Below are 16,078 nucleotides of genomic sequence, written 5' to 3' on the forward strand. Positions count from 1 at the left end.
TTTGAAAGACAGAGAGTCTCATTCTGTTGCCCAGGCTGGTCTTGAACTTTTGGCCTCAAGTGATCCTCCCACCTTGGCCTCCCTAAGTGCTGGGATTACAAGCCTGATCCACCATTCTCGGACCTAAGTGCTTCTCCCTAACCCCCCCAGATCACCATGGAAAATACATCCTTTCTCCTAGACTCCTCAAGAACCCCTGCCCATTGCTCTGTCAGGCCCTTCCTCCCGCCTCTTGCCCTTGGACCATCCCTTCAGCCCCAAGCTCCCACCACCCTCCGAATCTCCTTGATCAAACTGTGTACTTCCCCCTGACCTGTTTGAAGCAGGCCTCCACAAGGTTTGGTGGAAACATATTTCTGCAGAAAAACATGAGAAGAAGGAAAGTGGTTAGACCATGGAAGGGCATCTAGGGTGATAACAGTAATACTAACACCAAGAACAACAATAGTGCAGCCAACATATGAATGCTTCCTCTAGGCTGGGCACTGAGCAAGCATCTTACTATCATCTGATTAAAACACTACAATAACCCTAGACATGAGTCCTATTGAATGCCGCCTTTCACATAGAAAGAAACCACAGCCCAGAGAATTGATGTAAGCTACCCGGAGCCACAGAGCTGCTAAGAGGTGCAGATGGCCCTCAAATCCAGGTCTGTCTGAGCATGTGGCCAGAGCCCTACATCACCTCAAGGACTTTAATTCAAACACACATGTGTCAGTGATGCCTCAAAAAACCACAGAAAACTCTTAAACCCTTTTAACTTTAGGTTTCGTCTAGGCCCATGATTAAGGTAGAACCATGGCTAGCCTTGATTCTGTGTGGCAAAAATCTTGCTGCTTTAATTAAAATTAAAACCACAATGAGATAACCACCTTAACCCCAGCTAGAACAGCCATCATTAAAGAGTCAAAAAACTATAGATGTTGGCATTGATGTGGGGGAAAGGGGACACTTACACACTGCTGGTGGGGATGTAAATTAGTACAACCTCTATGGAAAACAGTATGGAGATTTCTTTTTTTTTTTTTTTAGATGGAGTCTTGCTCTGTCGCCCAGGCTGGAGTGCAGTGGTGCGATCTCGGCTCACTGCAACCTCCACCTCCCGGGTTCAAGCAATTCTCCTGCCTCAGCCTCCCAAGTAGCTGGGATTAAAGTTGCCCACCACCACGCCTGGCTAATTTTTTGTATTTTTAGTAGAGACAGGGTTTCACCATGTTAGGCAGGATGGTCTCAATCTCCTGACCTCATGATCTGCCTGCCTCAGCCTCCCAAAGTACTGGGACTACAGGCGTGAGCCACTGCGCCTGGCTGAGAGATTTCTTAAAGAACTAAAAGTAGATCTACCATTCCACCTAGCAATCCCACTACTGGGTATCTACTCAAAGGAAAAGAAGTCACTATATCAAAAAGACACCTGCACACATATGTTTATCACAGTACAATTCACAGTTGCAAAGAAATGGAACCAACCTAAGTGCCCATCAACTGATGAGTGCATAAAGAACACATGATATATGTACACCATGGAATACTACTCAGCCATGAAAAAGAATGAAATAGGCTGGGTGCAGTGGCTTACACCTGTAATCCCAGCACTTTGGAAGGCTGAGATGAGTGGATCACTCGAGGCCAGGAGTTTGAGACCAGCCTGGCCAACATGATGAAACGCTGTCTCTACTAAAAATACAAAAATTAGCTGGGCATGGTGGCAGGCACCTCTAATCCCAGCTACTCAGGAGGCTGACACAGGAGAATCGCTTGAACCCGAAAGGCAGAGGTTGCAGTGAGCTGAGATCATGCCACTGCACTCCAGCCTGGGCGACAGAGTGAGACTCTGTTTCAAAAAAAAAAAAAAAAAGAAAGAAATAATGTCTTTGGCATGGTTGGAGCTGGGGGCCATTATTCTAAGTGAAGTAATTCAGGAATGGAAAACCACATACAGTATTTCTCACTTATAAGTGGGAACTAAGCTATGAGTATGCAGAAACATACAGAGTGATATAATGGACTTTAGAAACTCAGAAGCGGGAGGCGGGGAGAGTAGTTAGAAATTAAAAGCTGCACATTAGGTACAATGTACACTACTAGTGGGACGGATGCACTAAAATCTCAGAATTCTCCACTATATAATTCATCCATGTAACAAAGAAACACTTGCTCCCCAAAAGCTATTGAAATTAAAAATTAAAAAATTTTTCATAGGCCGGGCACAGTGGCTCACGTCTGTAATCTCAGCAGTTTAAGAGGCTGAGGCAGGTAGATTACTTGAGGTCAGCAGTTCAAGACCAGCCTGGCCAACACGGTGAAACCCTGTCTCCACTAAAAATACAAAAATTAGTCCAGTGTGGTGGCGTGCACCTGTAATTCCAGCTACTCTGGAGGCTGAGGCACAACAGAACCCTGGAGGCGGAGGTTGCAGTGAGCCAAGCTCATGCCACTGCACTCCAGCCTGGGCAATGGAGTGCAAAAATAAAAATAAAAACAATTAAAAGAGTAAAGGCAACTATTAATAGCAAAAATATTTTTTAATAATAAAAATAAAAAATCAAAAATTTAGTTAATTTTTTAAAAAATCGTGCTGCTTCTATTTACAATAGCAAAGACTTGGAACTGACCCAAATGCCCATCAGTGATAGACTGGATAAAGAAAATATGGCACATATATGCCATGCAAATACTATGCAGCCATAAAAAAGAATGAGTTCATGTCCTTTGCAGGGACGTGGATGAAGCTGGAAGCCATCATTCTCAGCAAACTGACATAGAAACAGAAAACTAAACACTGCATGTTCTCACTCATAAGTGGGAGTTGAACAATGAGAATACATGGACACAGGGAAGGGAACATCACACCCTGGGGCCTTTTGGGGGCTGTGGGGGCAAAGGGAGGGGGAGCATTAGGACAAATACCTAATGCATGCGGGGCTTAAAACCTAGATGACGGGTTGATAGGTGCTGCAAACCACCATGGCGCATGTATACTTATGTAAGAAACCTGCACGTTCTGCACATGTATCCCAGAACTTAAAGTAAAAAATAAAATAAAATATAAATTAAAAAATCATGCTGCTCTAAGAGAATCATTCACCCTCCAATGATGCTTAGGCAAATACCAGCTGTTCTGACCCCACCTTAAGGGTCATATCCTAAGATCATATTCTAGCAGCAGCTGCTGTTGGAGAATATATACAAGGCTCCAGGGCAGAAATTGGGTACCACAAGTGGATACTATGGGTGCTGCTATGTCCAGGCTGCGGGAGCCTGTCCCCTTTGTCTCTCCTTCAGTATGAGTTGTTGCAAGTAGAGTCAGAAATCATATCAAAATGAGTACAGTCACCTGTAAACTAAAAGTAACACCTAAGCCACCACCACCACCAACAGCTGAACAGACTCTCTTGTGGCCAAGTGGACCCCAGAACAACTTTAAAACTGAGTTCCTGGCCATGATGGGACAGGAGGTCAGACACGCCTCCTTACACTCTCTCCCTTTTATAATCTAGACACAACAACTAACCCACATTAATGTTATTAATGCATTAAATTAAAACAGAAATCATAAGACTGATAGAACAGGCTCTTTGGGGCAATAAGATACCAAATTATAAGGAGGATCTAAGACCATGCCACGCAGGGGTTAAGTCATGGACCCTACGCTCAAAGAATAAATTGTGTTCTAGCTGTCAAAAGGTTCTTCTTTTTCTCTAGGAGTTAAACAAACACTAGTCTTATGATAAGCAATATTAAAATAATTACAACTCATCAGCTCACAGACAAGGACTAATGGGGCCCCTGTTCCACCAGCCATAACTACAGCTTTGATTGGACAAGAGACTGATTTCAGTAACTTTCTCCTGATAACACCACTGACCATGGGCTGGTTCTGGCTCATTGACAGAGGCTGTGCATTTGGGTACCTTCGTGTCCTGAAAAGACCTTTTGATGTATAAAGCCTAAATGTGATACATTTAAATGTTAAGTAAATGTTAAGTATCCACCCCAAAGTGGACATGGGGTCATATGTTACATGCAACTTTCTTCAATATGCATGCATCAGGGCCACCTACATGAATATTCATAGCTCCTCCTGTAACCTGTTGAATATGCATGTTTAGCCAACCCATTCAGCATAAAGCTCCTACTCCAACCCCTCCTCCTTAGAAGTGCCCGTCTCTGCTCTTGACCGGACGCATGCTTCCCAGCCTGTGGGATGACCTCTTTGCAGGCTATAATCTTTTACAATAAATAAAGTCTCCTTTTTCAAATGTGTATATTGTGGTTTTTTAGGTTGGCACACCTGATCAGGTCCATGAAGGCATCAGCTGTGGGGATGGTCTCGATCCGGCCCTCCCGGTGCAGCCCCTCCTTGGAGCCCTTCCCGGGATGGATGATGGTGACCATGAGGATGCCGATGAAGACCGCGATGATGGTGGTCACCATGTAGTACACAGCTGCCCGCATCCCCATCCGCCCCGTGGCCTTGTTGTCCAGGGATGCCATACCTGAAGGACAGATGATGTGGCCCCCGCAGCTCCATGCATACCCAACGCCAGCTCTCCTAGCATCCGTTCCACCCTCCCCATATCACCAACTCAACAGCCGACCCACCAAGCATCCCTTTTCCTATAGCCCACCCCAAAACCCACCCATTACCCATTCACCCGCACCACCATCTTTCTACTTCTAATTTTCCAAATACACACCCTCACACGCCATCCCAACCCTTATCCCAAGCAGCACTCCACTATCCTACTGCCTTCCCTCTACTCCAAGCCACCTTTTCCACACTTTCACCCCATCCTCTATTGAGTCTTGTTTTCTCTTGTTTTGCACCATAACCTAACTATTTTTTTTTTGAGACGGACTCTCCTTCGCCCAGACTGGAGTGCAATGGTGCGATCTCAGCTCAGTACAACCTCCATCTCCCCAGTTCAAACAATTCTGCTGCCTCAGCCTTCCGAGTGGCTGGGATTACAGGCACCTGCCACCATGCCCAGCTAATTTTTGTATTTTTAGTAGAGACGGGGTTTCACCATGTTGGCCAGGCTGGTCTCGAACTCCTGAACTCAGACGATCCACTCACCTCAGCCTTCCAAAGTGCTGGGATTACAGGCATGAGCCACTGCGCCTGGCCCATAACCTAACTTTCATTCCACTTGTCATCCCACTATTAATCCCAAAATCACACCTTCCTCCAACCCACCTCACGGCGCACCCTTTGTGGCACATATTCTTGGTGCTCCACTCCTACACCCTTTCCCAAGCCAATCTGCTGATCCTTCAGCCCCGAGAGCACTGAGTACAATAGCTCAGGCTGCCCACTTCTCCTGAGAATTGCCCTCAGCAAAATGGGAGCTGCCTTGCCCATAGAAACCCCAGGGGAGACCTAGAGCCAAAGAATGACTGTGCAGGGATTCACAATGGCCAACTCCTTTGATTCAGGTGGCAGTAGAGCTGGGGAGGGATTCAATTCTGTGGTTCTGCTCACACTCCAGAGCTCCCCATGAGATGAGGCTGAGAGGCCAGCCTTCTTTTGAAACCCACATCTTTGCTTCACTGGTTTCCCAGCCCTGTCCCACTTCCTTCACTTCCTTGCGAGTTTCTCTTGAGAGCTATCCCGCAATAAATCACCTGTGCAGATATCCCCATCTCAGTCAGGCTCTGCTTCTAGGAAACCCAACCTAAGAAGCCATTTCTTCATGCCTTTTTCTTCTTCCCCATCCCCAAATCCAGGGATTGGCAAACTGCTACTCATGCCAAATCCGGCCCTCTGCCTGCTTTTGTAAATAAAGTTTTATTGGAACACAACCATGCCCATTTGTTCTCATATTGTCTATGGCTGCTTCTGTGCTGCAATGGCAGAATCGAGTACAATTGACCCTTGAACAGCATGGGTTTCAACTGCTCGAGTACACTTATGCATGGAGTTTCTTCTGCCTGTGCCACCCCTGAGACAGCAAGACAAGCCCTCCTCTTCTTCTTCCTCAGCCTACTCAACATGAAGACAAAGGGGATGAAGATCTTTATGATGATCCACTTCCACTCAATTAATAGTAGATAACATTTCTCTTCCTTATCATTTTTTTAATAGACAGGGTCTCACCCTGTTGCTCAGGCTAGAGTGCAGTGGTGCCATCACAGCTCGCTGCAGCCTCCTGGGTTCAAGTGATCCTCCTGCTTCAGCCTCTCGAGTAGCTAGGACTATGGGCATGTATCACCATATCCTGCTGATTTTTTTTATTTTATATAGAGATGGAGTCTCACTGTGTTGCCCAGGCTGATCTCGAACTCCTGGGCTCAAGCAATTCTCCTGCCTCAACCTCCCAAAGCACTGTGATTACAGGCATAAGTCACCTCACCTGGCCTGATTTTCTTAATAACATTCTATTCTCTAGCTTACTGTACTTTAAGAATATAGTATAATGGCCGGGCGGGGTGGCTCACACCTGTAATCCCAGCACTTTGGGAGGCCAAGGCGGGCGGATCACGAGGTCAGGAGATCGAGACCATCCTGGCTAGCACGGTGAAACCCTGTCTCTACTAAAAATACAAAAAATTAGCCGGGCATGGTGGCGGGTGCCTGTAGTTCCAGCTACTCAGGAGGCTGAGGCAGGAGAATGGCATGAACCCAGGAGGCGGTGCTTGCAGTGAGCGGAGATTGTGCCACTGCACTCCAGCCTGGGCAACGGAGCGACACTCTGTCTCAAAAAAAAAAAGAATATAGTATATAATACTTACAGCATACAAAATATGAGTTAGTCAACTGTTTATGCTCTCTGTAAGGCTTCCAGTCAATAGTAGGCTATTAGTAGTTAAGCTTTTCGGGAGTCAAAAGTTACATGTGAGCCGGGCGTGGTGGCTCATGCCTGCTATCCCAGCACTTTGGGAGGCCGAGGTGCGCAGATCATGAGGTCAGGAAATCGATATCATCCTGACCAATATGGTGAAACCCCAACTCTACTAAAATACAAAAAATTAGCTGGGCGTGTTGGTGCGTGCCTGTAGTCCCAGCTACTCGGGAGGCTGAAGTGGAGGAATTGCTTGAACCTGGGAGGTGGAGATTGCAGTGAGCCAAGATGGTGCCACTGCACCCCAGCCTGGTAACAGAGCAAGATTTTGTTAAAAACAAAAGAAAACAAAACAGTTATATGTGGATTTTTTACTGTGTGGGGGTTGGTGCCCCTAACACCCAAATTGTTCAAGGGTCAACCCTAGTTGCAAAAGAGACCATATGGCCCTTGAAGCTGAAAATGTTTACTATCCAGCCCTCTAAAGCAAAAGTTTGTGGACCCCTGCATAAGCCAACCATACTCCCATCCCACCCTCTACCCACTAAGCTGTCACCTCCATCTCACTCACCTTCCACACCTTAATCGACACCCCACTCCCTGCACATCCATACCATAGCCCAGCCACCCTCCCTGGTTGCCCTTCCAAGACTTTCTCTCACTTCTTTGTGATACTAAGCCCCTTGCAGGCTGGCATTTTACCTCCAAGGAAAAGGACAGGAAGCCTACTGAGATGAGTGGTGTGGGGTCATATGGGGTCTGGAACCTGGGACCGATTGGGACCTGGGCTTTGTTTGGCCAAGGACGCTGGACCAGACACAGGCTCCATGTTTGAGGTGCCGCGTCAAGGAAGTGGTCCCATGCTTGGGATGGCCTTGGCTCTGGGTTCAAGCTGAGGCTCTAGACGGGTCTTGGAGGCCAACACTGGCCTGGGCTCTCTCACCTGTGACCAGGCTGGAGACAATGAGAGGTAACACCAGCATCTGCAGCATCCTCATCAGAAGCTCTCCAGGAAAAGAGAAGTACTTGATCTGGCGGTAGGTGAGCTGATATGGGCGCAGGGCAAAGGCCAGGCTGACCCCTAGGGCCAAAAGAAGGGGTCCATGGACTGAAGTCTGGGTCGCTCAGCCCCAGGCAGGGTCCATCCATCCCAAGAAGGGTAGGGCAAGGGTGGGAGTGAGGGAGAGAAATATCCTATGAGTGTGTGTATTTGTGTGTGCACTGATGTGTGCAGACATTGTAGAAATGTATGCATGTATGGGTTACCATATTGATATTGTGTAAATGTGTGTCCGTGTCTGTGCAAATGTAAATGTGTAAATGTGTGTGTATATATCCAGGATATGTGACGGTAGACATTCACTTGTGAACAGGTATAGGTGTCTGTATACAGGGGCATATACACATGAATCTGCACAGGTGTTTTCCTGGACATCTATAGGTGTGATTTGTGTGTATCTTACTATTTTCAAACATGGGAGTGTACGTGTTCTTAAGCTCATAAGTGTGTGCACGTGTACTCAAGAGAATGCATGTAGAGATGTGAATGTGTTTATAAGTTCCAACATACATGCACAAGTGTGCATGTTTGTGTTTGCACCTATAAGTTCAATGCACGCATATGTGTGTGTGCATAGTAAAGTGTTTGTACATTGTATATGTATATATGTGAGTGTGTGTGTACACATGGATATGCATGTAACATTGTGTGCACACACAGTTGTGTTTGCACACATGTGTATTCATCTGTGTGGTGTGTCTTTATGTGGGGGGTTGAGGGTGACTGGTGGGACTGGGACGTGTGTGCAGGTGAGAATGAAGGGGTGCAGCAAAGAGATGTGTAGAGGCCAGGAATTTCCCTGAAGTCCCCGCCTTTCCCTGAAGTCCCCGCCCTCCAAGAGGCAGAGCTCACCAATGACCACGGCGCTGACCGTCAGCAGAATGAAGGCGTTTCGGCGCAGGAAGCGCAGCACGTGCTCGAGGGTCATGGTCTGCAGGCGCAGGCGCGTGCGCAGTGCTCTCTGCTGCAGGCTTTCCTGCAGCCGCTGCAGCCAGCCCACCCGGCCCAGCCGCTGGCCGCTCTCCCGCAGGAACAGGCTGTTGCCATGGCTGCTCATGGTCTATCTGCGGGAAACAGAGAAGCCTGGGGCTGGTGAGGGCCAGGACAGAAGGCCGGCGTGGGCAGATGGCGAAGGCTGCGAAGGGTAATGAGCGCTTCCTGAGGACTCTCAGAAGGCGGGGGTGGCTGGGTGTTTTGGCTCACGCCTGTAATCCCAGCACTTTGGGAGGCAGAGGCAGGAGAATCACTTGCGCCCAGGAGTTCAAGACTGGCCTGGGCAGCTAGGGGTGGTAGTCCTAAATATTTGGGAGGCTGAGGCAGGAGGATCACTTGAGCCCAAGAGTTCAAGGTTACAGTGATCTATGATCTTCCCAGCCTGAGCAAGATAGTGAGACCTCCACCCCTCCAAAAAAGCACAAAGGCCAGGCGCAGTGGCCCACACCTGTAATCCCAACACTTTCTAAGGCCAAGGCAAGAGGATCGCTTGAGCCCAGAAGTTTGAGGCTGCAGTGAGCTGTGACTGCACCACTGCACTCCAGCCTGAGTGACAGAGCACAGCCCTGTCTCTAAGAACAACAAGTAAATAAAAATATAACTAAAAACAAAATGGCAGGGGAGGGGGAAGGTAAGTCTGTTGCGATGTGCCCGGTTCTAAGGACAGGTCTTGGCAGGAAAACGTCAAGTCTCCAGAATCATTCCTGAGAATGGCTGGGAAGAGGAGGAAACCACAAAAATAATGGACCTTTTTGACACACCCTGACTCCAGCCCACTCTTATTTCACTGAGATCATCACAAGCCTCTGGGGGCTGCCCCAGTGGCTCAAGGGAAATTAACAAGCCTTTGTGAAGTGCCAGCTGCATACGGAGCCCTAGACAAAGCACCCGGAGGCTAGTCCCCCAAATTAGGACGGTTTTGTGTCCAGCCTGGAGGCTTTTCACAAGGACAAAATCAGCAGGTGCCTGGCAAACAGCAGGTGCCCAGTAAATGCAGCTATTCTGCCTGAATGCCCAGGTGAGCAACAGGGAGAGCGGGGAGTCAGGAGAGCGGGGAGTCCCTTGGGAATGAAATGATAATGATTCTTGGCCACAGTGTGATGTTCATGAGCCCCTCTGGGGTGGCAGGCACTGTACTGATGTTTCCCAAACTGCAGGCTTTTGCGTCTCCTCTTTATATTTGGCCATATCCATGTGTCCTTATTCACTTACCTAAAAAACAGTACCGAACCAGGCGTGGTGGCTCACGCCTATAATCCCAGCACTTTGGGAGGCCGAAGCGGGCAGATCACTTGAGCTCAGGAGTTCGAGACCAGCCTGGCCAACACAGTGAAACACCGCCTCTACTAAAAATACAAAAATTACCCAGGCGTGGTGGCAGGTGCCTGTAGTCCCAACTACTCGGGAGGCTGAGGCAAGAGAATCACTTGAATCCAGGAGGTGGAGGTTGCAGTGAACCGAGATCGCACCACAGCACTCCAGCCTGGACGACAGAGTGAGACTCTGTCTCAAAATAAAAATAAATAAATACTTTTAAAATTAAAATTAAAAATGTATCTAAAATGGAAACTTTAGACCCCTACTTGAAATGTGAATTATATTTTTCATCAACATTAAATAAAATGCATATAAAAATTAAAACTTGCCCATCTGTCTACCAACTAAACACCTCACGTGTACAGGGCGGCTCAGAAATTGTGATTTTCATGGGCCTGAGGAACTTTTCTCTTTGTGCACCCCTTCCTTCATTAAAAAAAAGCCTACATTAAAATTCTATTTCACAACTGCATTCATATAAAGAAAAATATGTTATTTCAGAACGAGATAGAGGTGACAATTATTGCACAACATAATGAAAATACTAGATGCTATTGAATTATATGTTTTCAAATGGTTGCTTTTGTGTTATGTGAATTCCCCTCAATTTTAAAAATTGAGCCAGCTGCTGTGGCTCATGCCTGTAATCCCAGCTACTTGGGTGGCTGAGTGGGGAGGATCACCTGAGCCCAGGAGTTCAAGACCTGAGACAGAATGTCGCTCTGTCAACCAGGCAGGAGTGCAGCTCACTGCAGCCTCCAACTCCTGGGCTCAAGTGATCCTCCCACCTCAGCCTCCAAAAGTGCTGGGATTGTAGGCATGAGACACCGCACCCACCCTAAAAAAATTAAAAATTAAAATGAATATGTTAATATTCTACATTATAACATTCTTTCACCTAAATGCTTGTTTCTGTCTTCTGATTTTGAAAGAGATGAAAACATCAGGGAAATAGTAGAATTGTATTAGAGGCTGGGAAGGGTAGGCGGGAGGAGAGGATGGGGAGAGGTTGGTTAACAGATACAAAACTACAGCTAGATAGAAAGAATGAGTTCTGGTGTTCTGCAGCACCGTAGAGGGACTATGGTTAATGATCATTTATTCTATATTTTCCAAAAAGCCAGTAGAGAAGGTTCTGAGCATTCACACATTAAGAAATGATCAATGTTTGAGATGATGGATGTGCTAATTACCCTGATTTGATCTTTACGCATTGTATGCATGTATCGAAATGTCACTGTATCCCATCAATATGTACAAGTATTTTGTATCAACTCAAAATAAAAGGGAAGCAAAAAAAATGAAAACGGCCAGGGCGCAGTGGCTCACATCTGTAATCCCAGCAATTTGGAAGGCCGAGGTGGGCAGATCACTTGAGGTCAGGAGTTCGAGACCAGCCTGGCCAACATGGCGAAACCCCATCTCTATGAAAAATACAAAAATTAGCTGGATGTGTCACACGCCTGTAATCCCAGCTACTCCAGAGGCTGAGGCAGGAGAATCGCTTTGAACCCAGGAGGCAGAGGTTGCAGTGAGCCAAGATTGCACCACTGTACTCCAGCCTGGGTGACAAAGCCAGACTTTGTCAAAAAAAAAAAAAAAGGAAAAAAAAAAAAGAAAGAAAGGAGGGAAGGGAACGGAAGGGAAGGGAAGGGGACAAAGGGAAGGGAAGGGAAGGGGACAAAGGGAAGGGAAGGGAAGGGAAGGAAAGGGAAGGGAAGGGAAGGGAAGGAAAGGGAAGGGGGAAGGGAAGGAAAGGGAAGGGGACTTTTCTGTGGGTCCCTAAAAGCACTGTGTGCTATAGGTACTATACCTCCTAACCTACACTGTTCTCATAACCAAGAAAGGGTGGTGCCCTTCTTCCAGGCATACTGAGAATTCTGTTCTTCCTTCTAGACCCACTCTTAGGCTCCCTCTCCCATGGGCTCCCTTTCGATCTACCCAGTGGAAAGGACAACAGTATGGAGATTTCTCAAAGAACTCCATCCCATCCAGAAACCTCCCTACTGAATATCCACCCCAAGGAAAACAAATCATTGTATCAAAAGGATATCTGCACTGGCATGTTTCATCACAGCAATATTCGCAATCGCCTAGATATGGAATCAACCTAAGTGTCCACCAATGGACGATTAAAGAAAATGTGATATAGATAAGTTTATCATATTATAGATAAATAGATCTGTATCACATTTATATCAATATCACATTTTCTTGCTACATTGTTGATTACAGTATTTTATCTATGTTTCATTATGTATATCATGGAATAGTAATCAGCCATAATAAAGTGTCTTTTACAGCAACACACATACAACTGGAGGCCATTCTCTTAAGTGCAATAATTCAGAAGCAAAGTGTAATACCACATGTTTACTTATTTTTAGTATTTTTGTATTTTTAGTAGAGACGGGGTTTCACTGTTGGCCAGGCTGGTCTCGAACTCCTGACCTCAGGTGATTCACCCACCTCGGCCTCCCAAAGTGCTGGGATTACAGGTATGAGCCACAGCGCCCGGCTGCCCCCCATCTACTTCCTAAGGGATCAAGGCTCCCTGATATTTTTTCTCACCCGCACCCCAGCCACACCCCCAGTACCTGAATTCAACCAGGTCGAGCTGCAGGTTTCTTGGAGGTCTCAGTTTTACCAGTACGTAGGTCCCTGGCCTTTGTGTTTTGCTGCCACTGGCTTTTCTGGGATCTTCCTTGCCCTCCTCAACTCCCCACCATATCCAAGGGATGGGAAATCTGCCCTGATTTTCCAGATCCTGCGTCCTCTAGAGCTAATCCAAATTCCCAATGCCAAGCCCCACTTAGGATCCTGCTCCAAATGGACCCATCTCCTGAAACCACAATGCTGCTTCTCCTTGCTGTGAAAAAAAAAAAAAAAAAAAATCCCAAAGAGTGAACCACAGACTACACAGGGAATCCCTCTGGGATATTATGTTTCCAGTCCCTAAGCCACAGCAGGAAGTTGCCTGTAGATACCAAGGGAGATCATTCAGCTAAGATCTGAACAGTCAGGAAAACTCCCGAGGCTAGAGTTTTGTCCGGTTCCTTTCTCTTCCTTACAAGACATAATACGGTATTGACAAACTATGGTCTGCTAGTCAAATTCAGCCTACTGCTTGTTTTTGTAAATAAAGTTTTATTGGCACACAGCCACACTCATGCATTACCTATTGTCTACAGCTGCTTTCAAGCTACAATGCCTGAGTTGAGTTGTTGGGACAGAGATTGTACGGGCCACAAAGCTCAAAATGTTTACTCTTGGGCCATTTGCTGAAAAAATTTGCTGACCCCTGGAGAAGAGCAGACAGCACTTAGCATCTGTGGGCCAGACGCAGTGGCTCATGCCTGCAATCCCAACACTTTGGGAGGTGAAGGCTGGAGAACCGCTTGAGCCCAGGAGTTCATGGCCAGCCTGGGCAACATAGCCAGACCCTGTCTCTTTTTTAAAAATTAAAAATTAGCCAGGCACGGTGGCCTGTGCCTGTAGTCCTAGCCACTCAAGAGGCTAAAGCAGGAGGATCGCTTGAACCCAGGAGTTTGAGGCTGCAATGAGCTATGATCGTACCACTGCACTCCAACTTGGGTGACAGCGTAAAACCCTGTCTAAAAGAAAAGAAAACAGCATCTTAGCACCTGATGACCATAAAATAGTTGCCAACTGTGGTTGATAAAAAGCAGAAACCTAACTCACACAAAATTAAGAATAGAGTAAAATGCTACAGTGTGAGAATGTCTTACTATCAATTTTTCTCAGTCCTGTCTGCATCACTTATAAGTATATACCATCATGATTGTCAATTAATAATAATACTAGTTTTAAAAAATGTTTGACTTGAAATGTGATCTTAGACTCCACTTGGGCCTCTCTGGGTCTCTCTCTTCTCCCCCACCCTGGGCTCTCTCTTTTCTAGGCTTTCCTGGGTCTAGGCTTTCTTTTGGACCTACCTCTTGGGTTTCCTGCTCAGAAAATGTCCCTTCTAGTGTTCCCAGTTTCTACAGGGTGAGGGGTGAGGGTGGGTCTTTCCCACTTGGTTCTCCCGACCTCTAGACACTTAGATCTGATGAGATGTGTGGGCTGCTTCTCGGAGCCTCTTACATCCCTAAAACTAAAGCAAGCTACAGTGAGCAAACTGAAAATGCTTTCTGTACATTTTATGTCAATGCTATGCTAGCCAGAGGAGTGAGTGAGGGAAGAGAGAGACGGCATGGAAACCAAGTACATCACACACACTCAGACACACACACGCACACATAACCTCGAAAACCTCTTGTATGCAATTGACATATCCACAACCCCAGACAGACACAGTCACATGCAAACTCTTCAGACATGCAACCACACACACACCCACACAAACCTTCAGAAATGCAGCTCCATGCATGCAGTCATACAATCCCTACACACACACACTTCCCACATTCATGTACACCCTCAGGCACACAACCACACACCTTCAGAAATGCAATTCCAGGCACACAGTTGTACAATTCTGCACACAGACACACTCACACATACACTTGCCACATTCATGTACACCCTCAGGCACGCAACCACCCACACCTTCAGAAATGCAATTCCAGGCATGCAGTCATACAATTCTGCACACACACATACACATTCATGTACACCCTCAGGCACACAACCACACACACCTTCGTGGCTCTGCACAACTACCCTTCATGAATTAAATCTTACAGAGGCAGTGACAGCCATACAATTCCTACCTACACACAGAAACACACACACACACACTCTTTAGGGCACAAAACACAAACTTCAGACTTTCAAAATCATCCTCACATTTAAACATTCAGCTCCACACACCTGTTCAGGACGGCGATCCCACTCACAAATTCAGTCTCTCTCTCTCTCTGTCACACACACACACACACACACACACACACACACACACACACACACACTAATGCCCAGACCCTCTGCAGCCTCAGCCACATCAGATACATCTGAAATTGGTGAAATAAGCCCTCTGACAGAGAAGGCAACCGAGCCCTATAAATGCACAAGGCATCGGGCTCGGTGCTGGAAACGTGCCTGTGTGCGGAGGCCACGGGTTGGGGAGGTGGGGAGACGGGCAGGGAGACCCGGGGATAACTAAGGGGATAGGAAACTCACCAGAACGACCAGGAGAAAAGCGGTGGCAACGGCTCTAAGGGGCAAGCAGGAGCTCAGAGACAAAGGGCGGCGGAGAAGTGGGGACGTGGGCGCAGGGAGCGCCCCACACGCCTGACCCCAGCGCCTCGGATCCCCCACCTGCCCGCAACCTCCGCGCCGCAGCCACACCGAGTCCCCGCGCCGAGCCGCGGAGTCCCCACTCACCGGCGTCCGGAGCGGCGGGGGCGGCCTGCCCGCGCCTCGGCCTGCGCGCTGCGCCCGGATGCAGGAGCCGGAGCCCGGCGAAGCGCCCGGCCGGGGCCGCGGGGACCCGCCAGGGACTGTGCAGCACCGGCGCGGGGACCGGACCGTGGAGGCACCGGCGCGGAGCCGGGACGCGCTATGCTGCGGGAGGGATCCGGGCCGGCCCTGCGCTCACGTGGGTGTGGGGGCACCGAGCGGCCGGGGGAGGGGGCGGGATCCCCTCCGCGATGCCCTCCGCCTCCCCCGCGCCCAGCCCAGGCTCCGCAGCCGTGTGGGAGAAGGGGGACAGCGTGCTTGCGAAGGGAGGGGGACTGGGGGTGGGCGGGGGTGAGTGGCCTCTCCGGCATCCAGCCCCCGCCCCCTGCTCGGAGCCGCGCCTCCGCGCCCCCGCCCCCTAAACCGCCTCCGGAGCCCTCGGAGGCCCCAGCATCCCTGGCGGAGCGCGGGGAACAGGCCCTGGCACCGCGGGACCCGCTCCAGCAGCCTCGGCGGAGGCCTGGGGAAGGCGCGGCTCTAGTGTCCCAGTAACAAC

General features: G+C 48.2%; 1 protein-coding gene across 10 annotated transcripts in view; it reads right to left on the reverse strand.

The window, feature by feature from the left end:
• Nucleotides 1-16,078, reverse strand: part of SLC1A6 (solute carrier family 1 member 6) — a 60,611-nt gene that overhangs the window by 13,973 nt on the left and 30,560 nt on the right. For 2 of the 10 annotated variants that reach the window (NM_001384669.1, NM_001272088.2), the window contains exons 1-5: nt 15,508-15,859; nt 8,701-8,912; nt 7,732-7,869; nt 4,298-4,502; nt 314-356 (exon numbers count right to left, since the gene is read on the reverse strand). In NM_001384669.1, the coding sequence (NP_001371598.1) occupies nt 314-356; nt 4,298-4,502; nt 7,732-7,869; nt 8,701-8,905 (591 nt within the window). In that variant the 5' untranslated portion in view covers nt 8,906-8,912; nt 15,508-15,859. Of the gene's footprint in view, nt 1-313; nt 357-4,297; nt 4,503-7,731; nt 7,870-8,700; nt 8,913-12,755; nt 13,773-14,114; nt 15,860-16,078 lie in introns of those variants that run through there. The other 8 variants (NM_005071.3, NM_001384670.1, XM_047439233.1 and 5 more) reach the window with 7 other exon arrangements.

This window comes from Homo sapiens, chromosome 19 (genome assembly GCF_000001405.40).
Source record: "Homo sapiens chromosome 19, GRCh38.p14 Primary Assembly".
Lineage (NCBI taxonomy): Eukaryota > Metazoa > Chordata > Mammalia > Primates > Hominidae > Homo > Homo sapiens.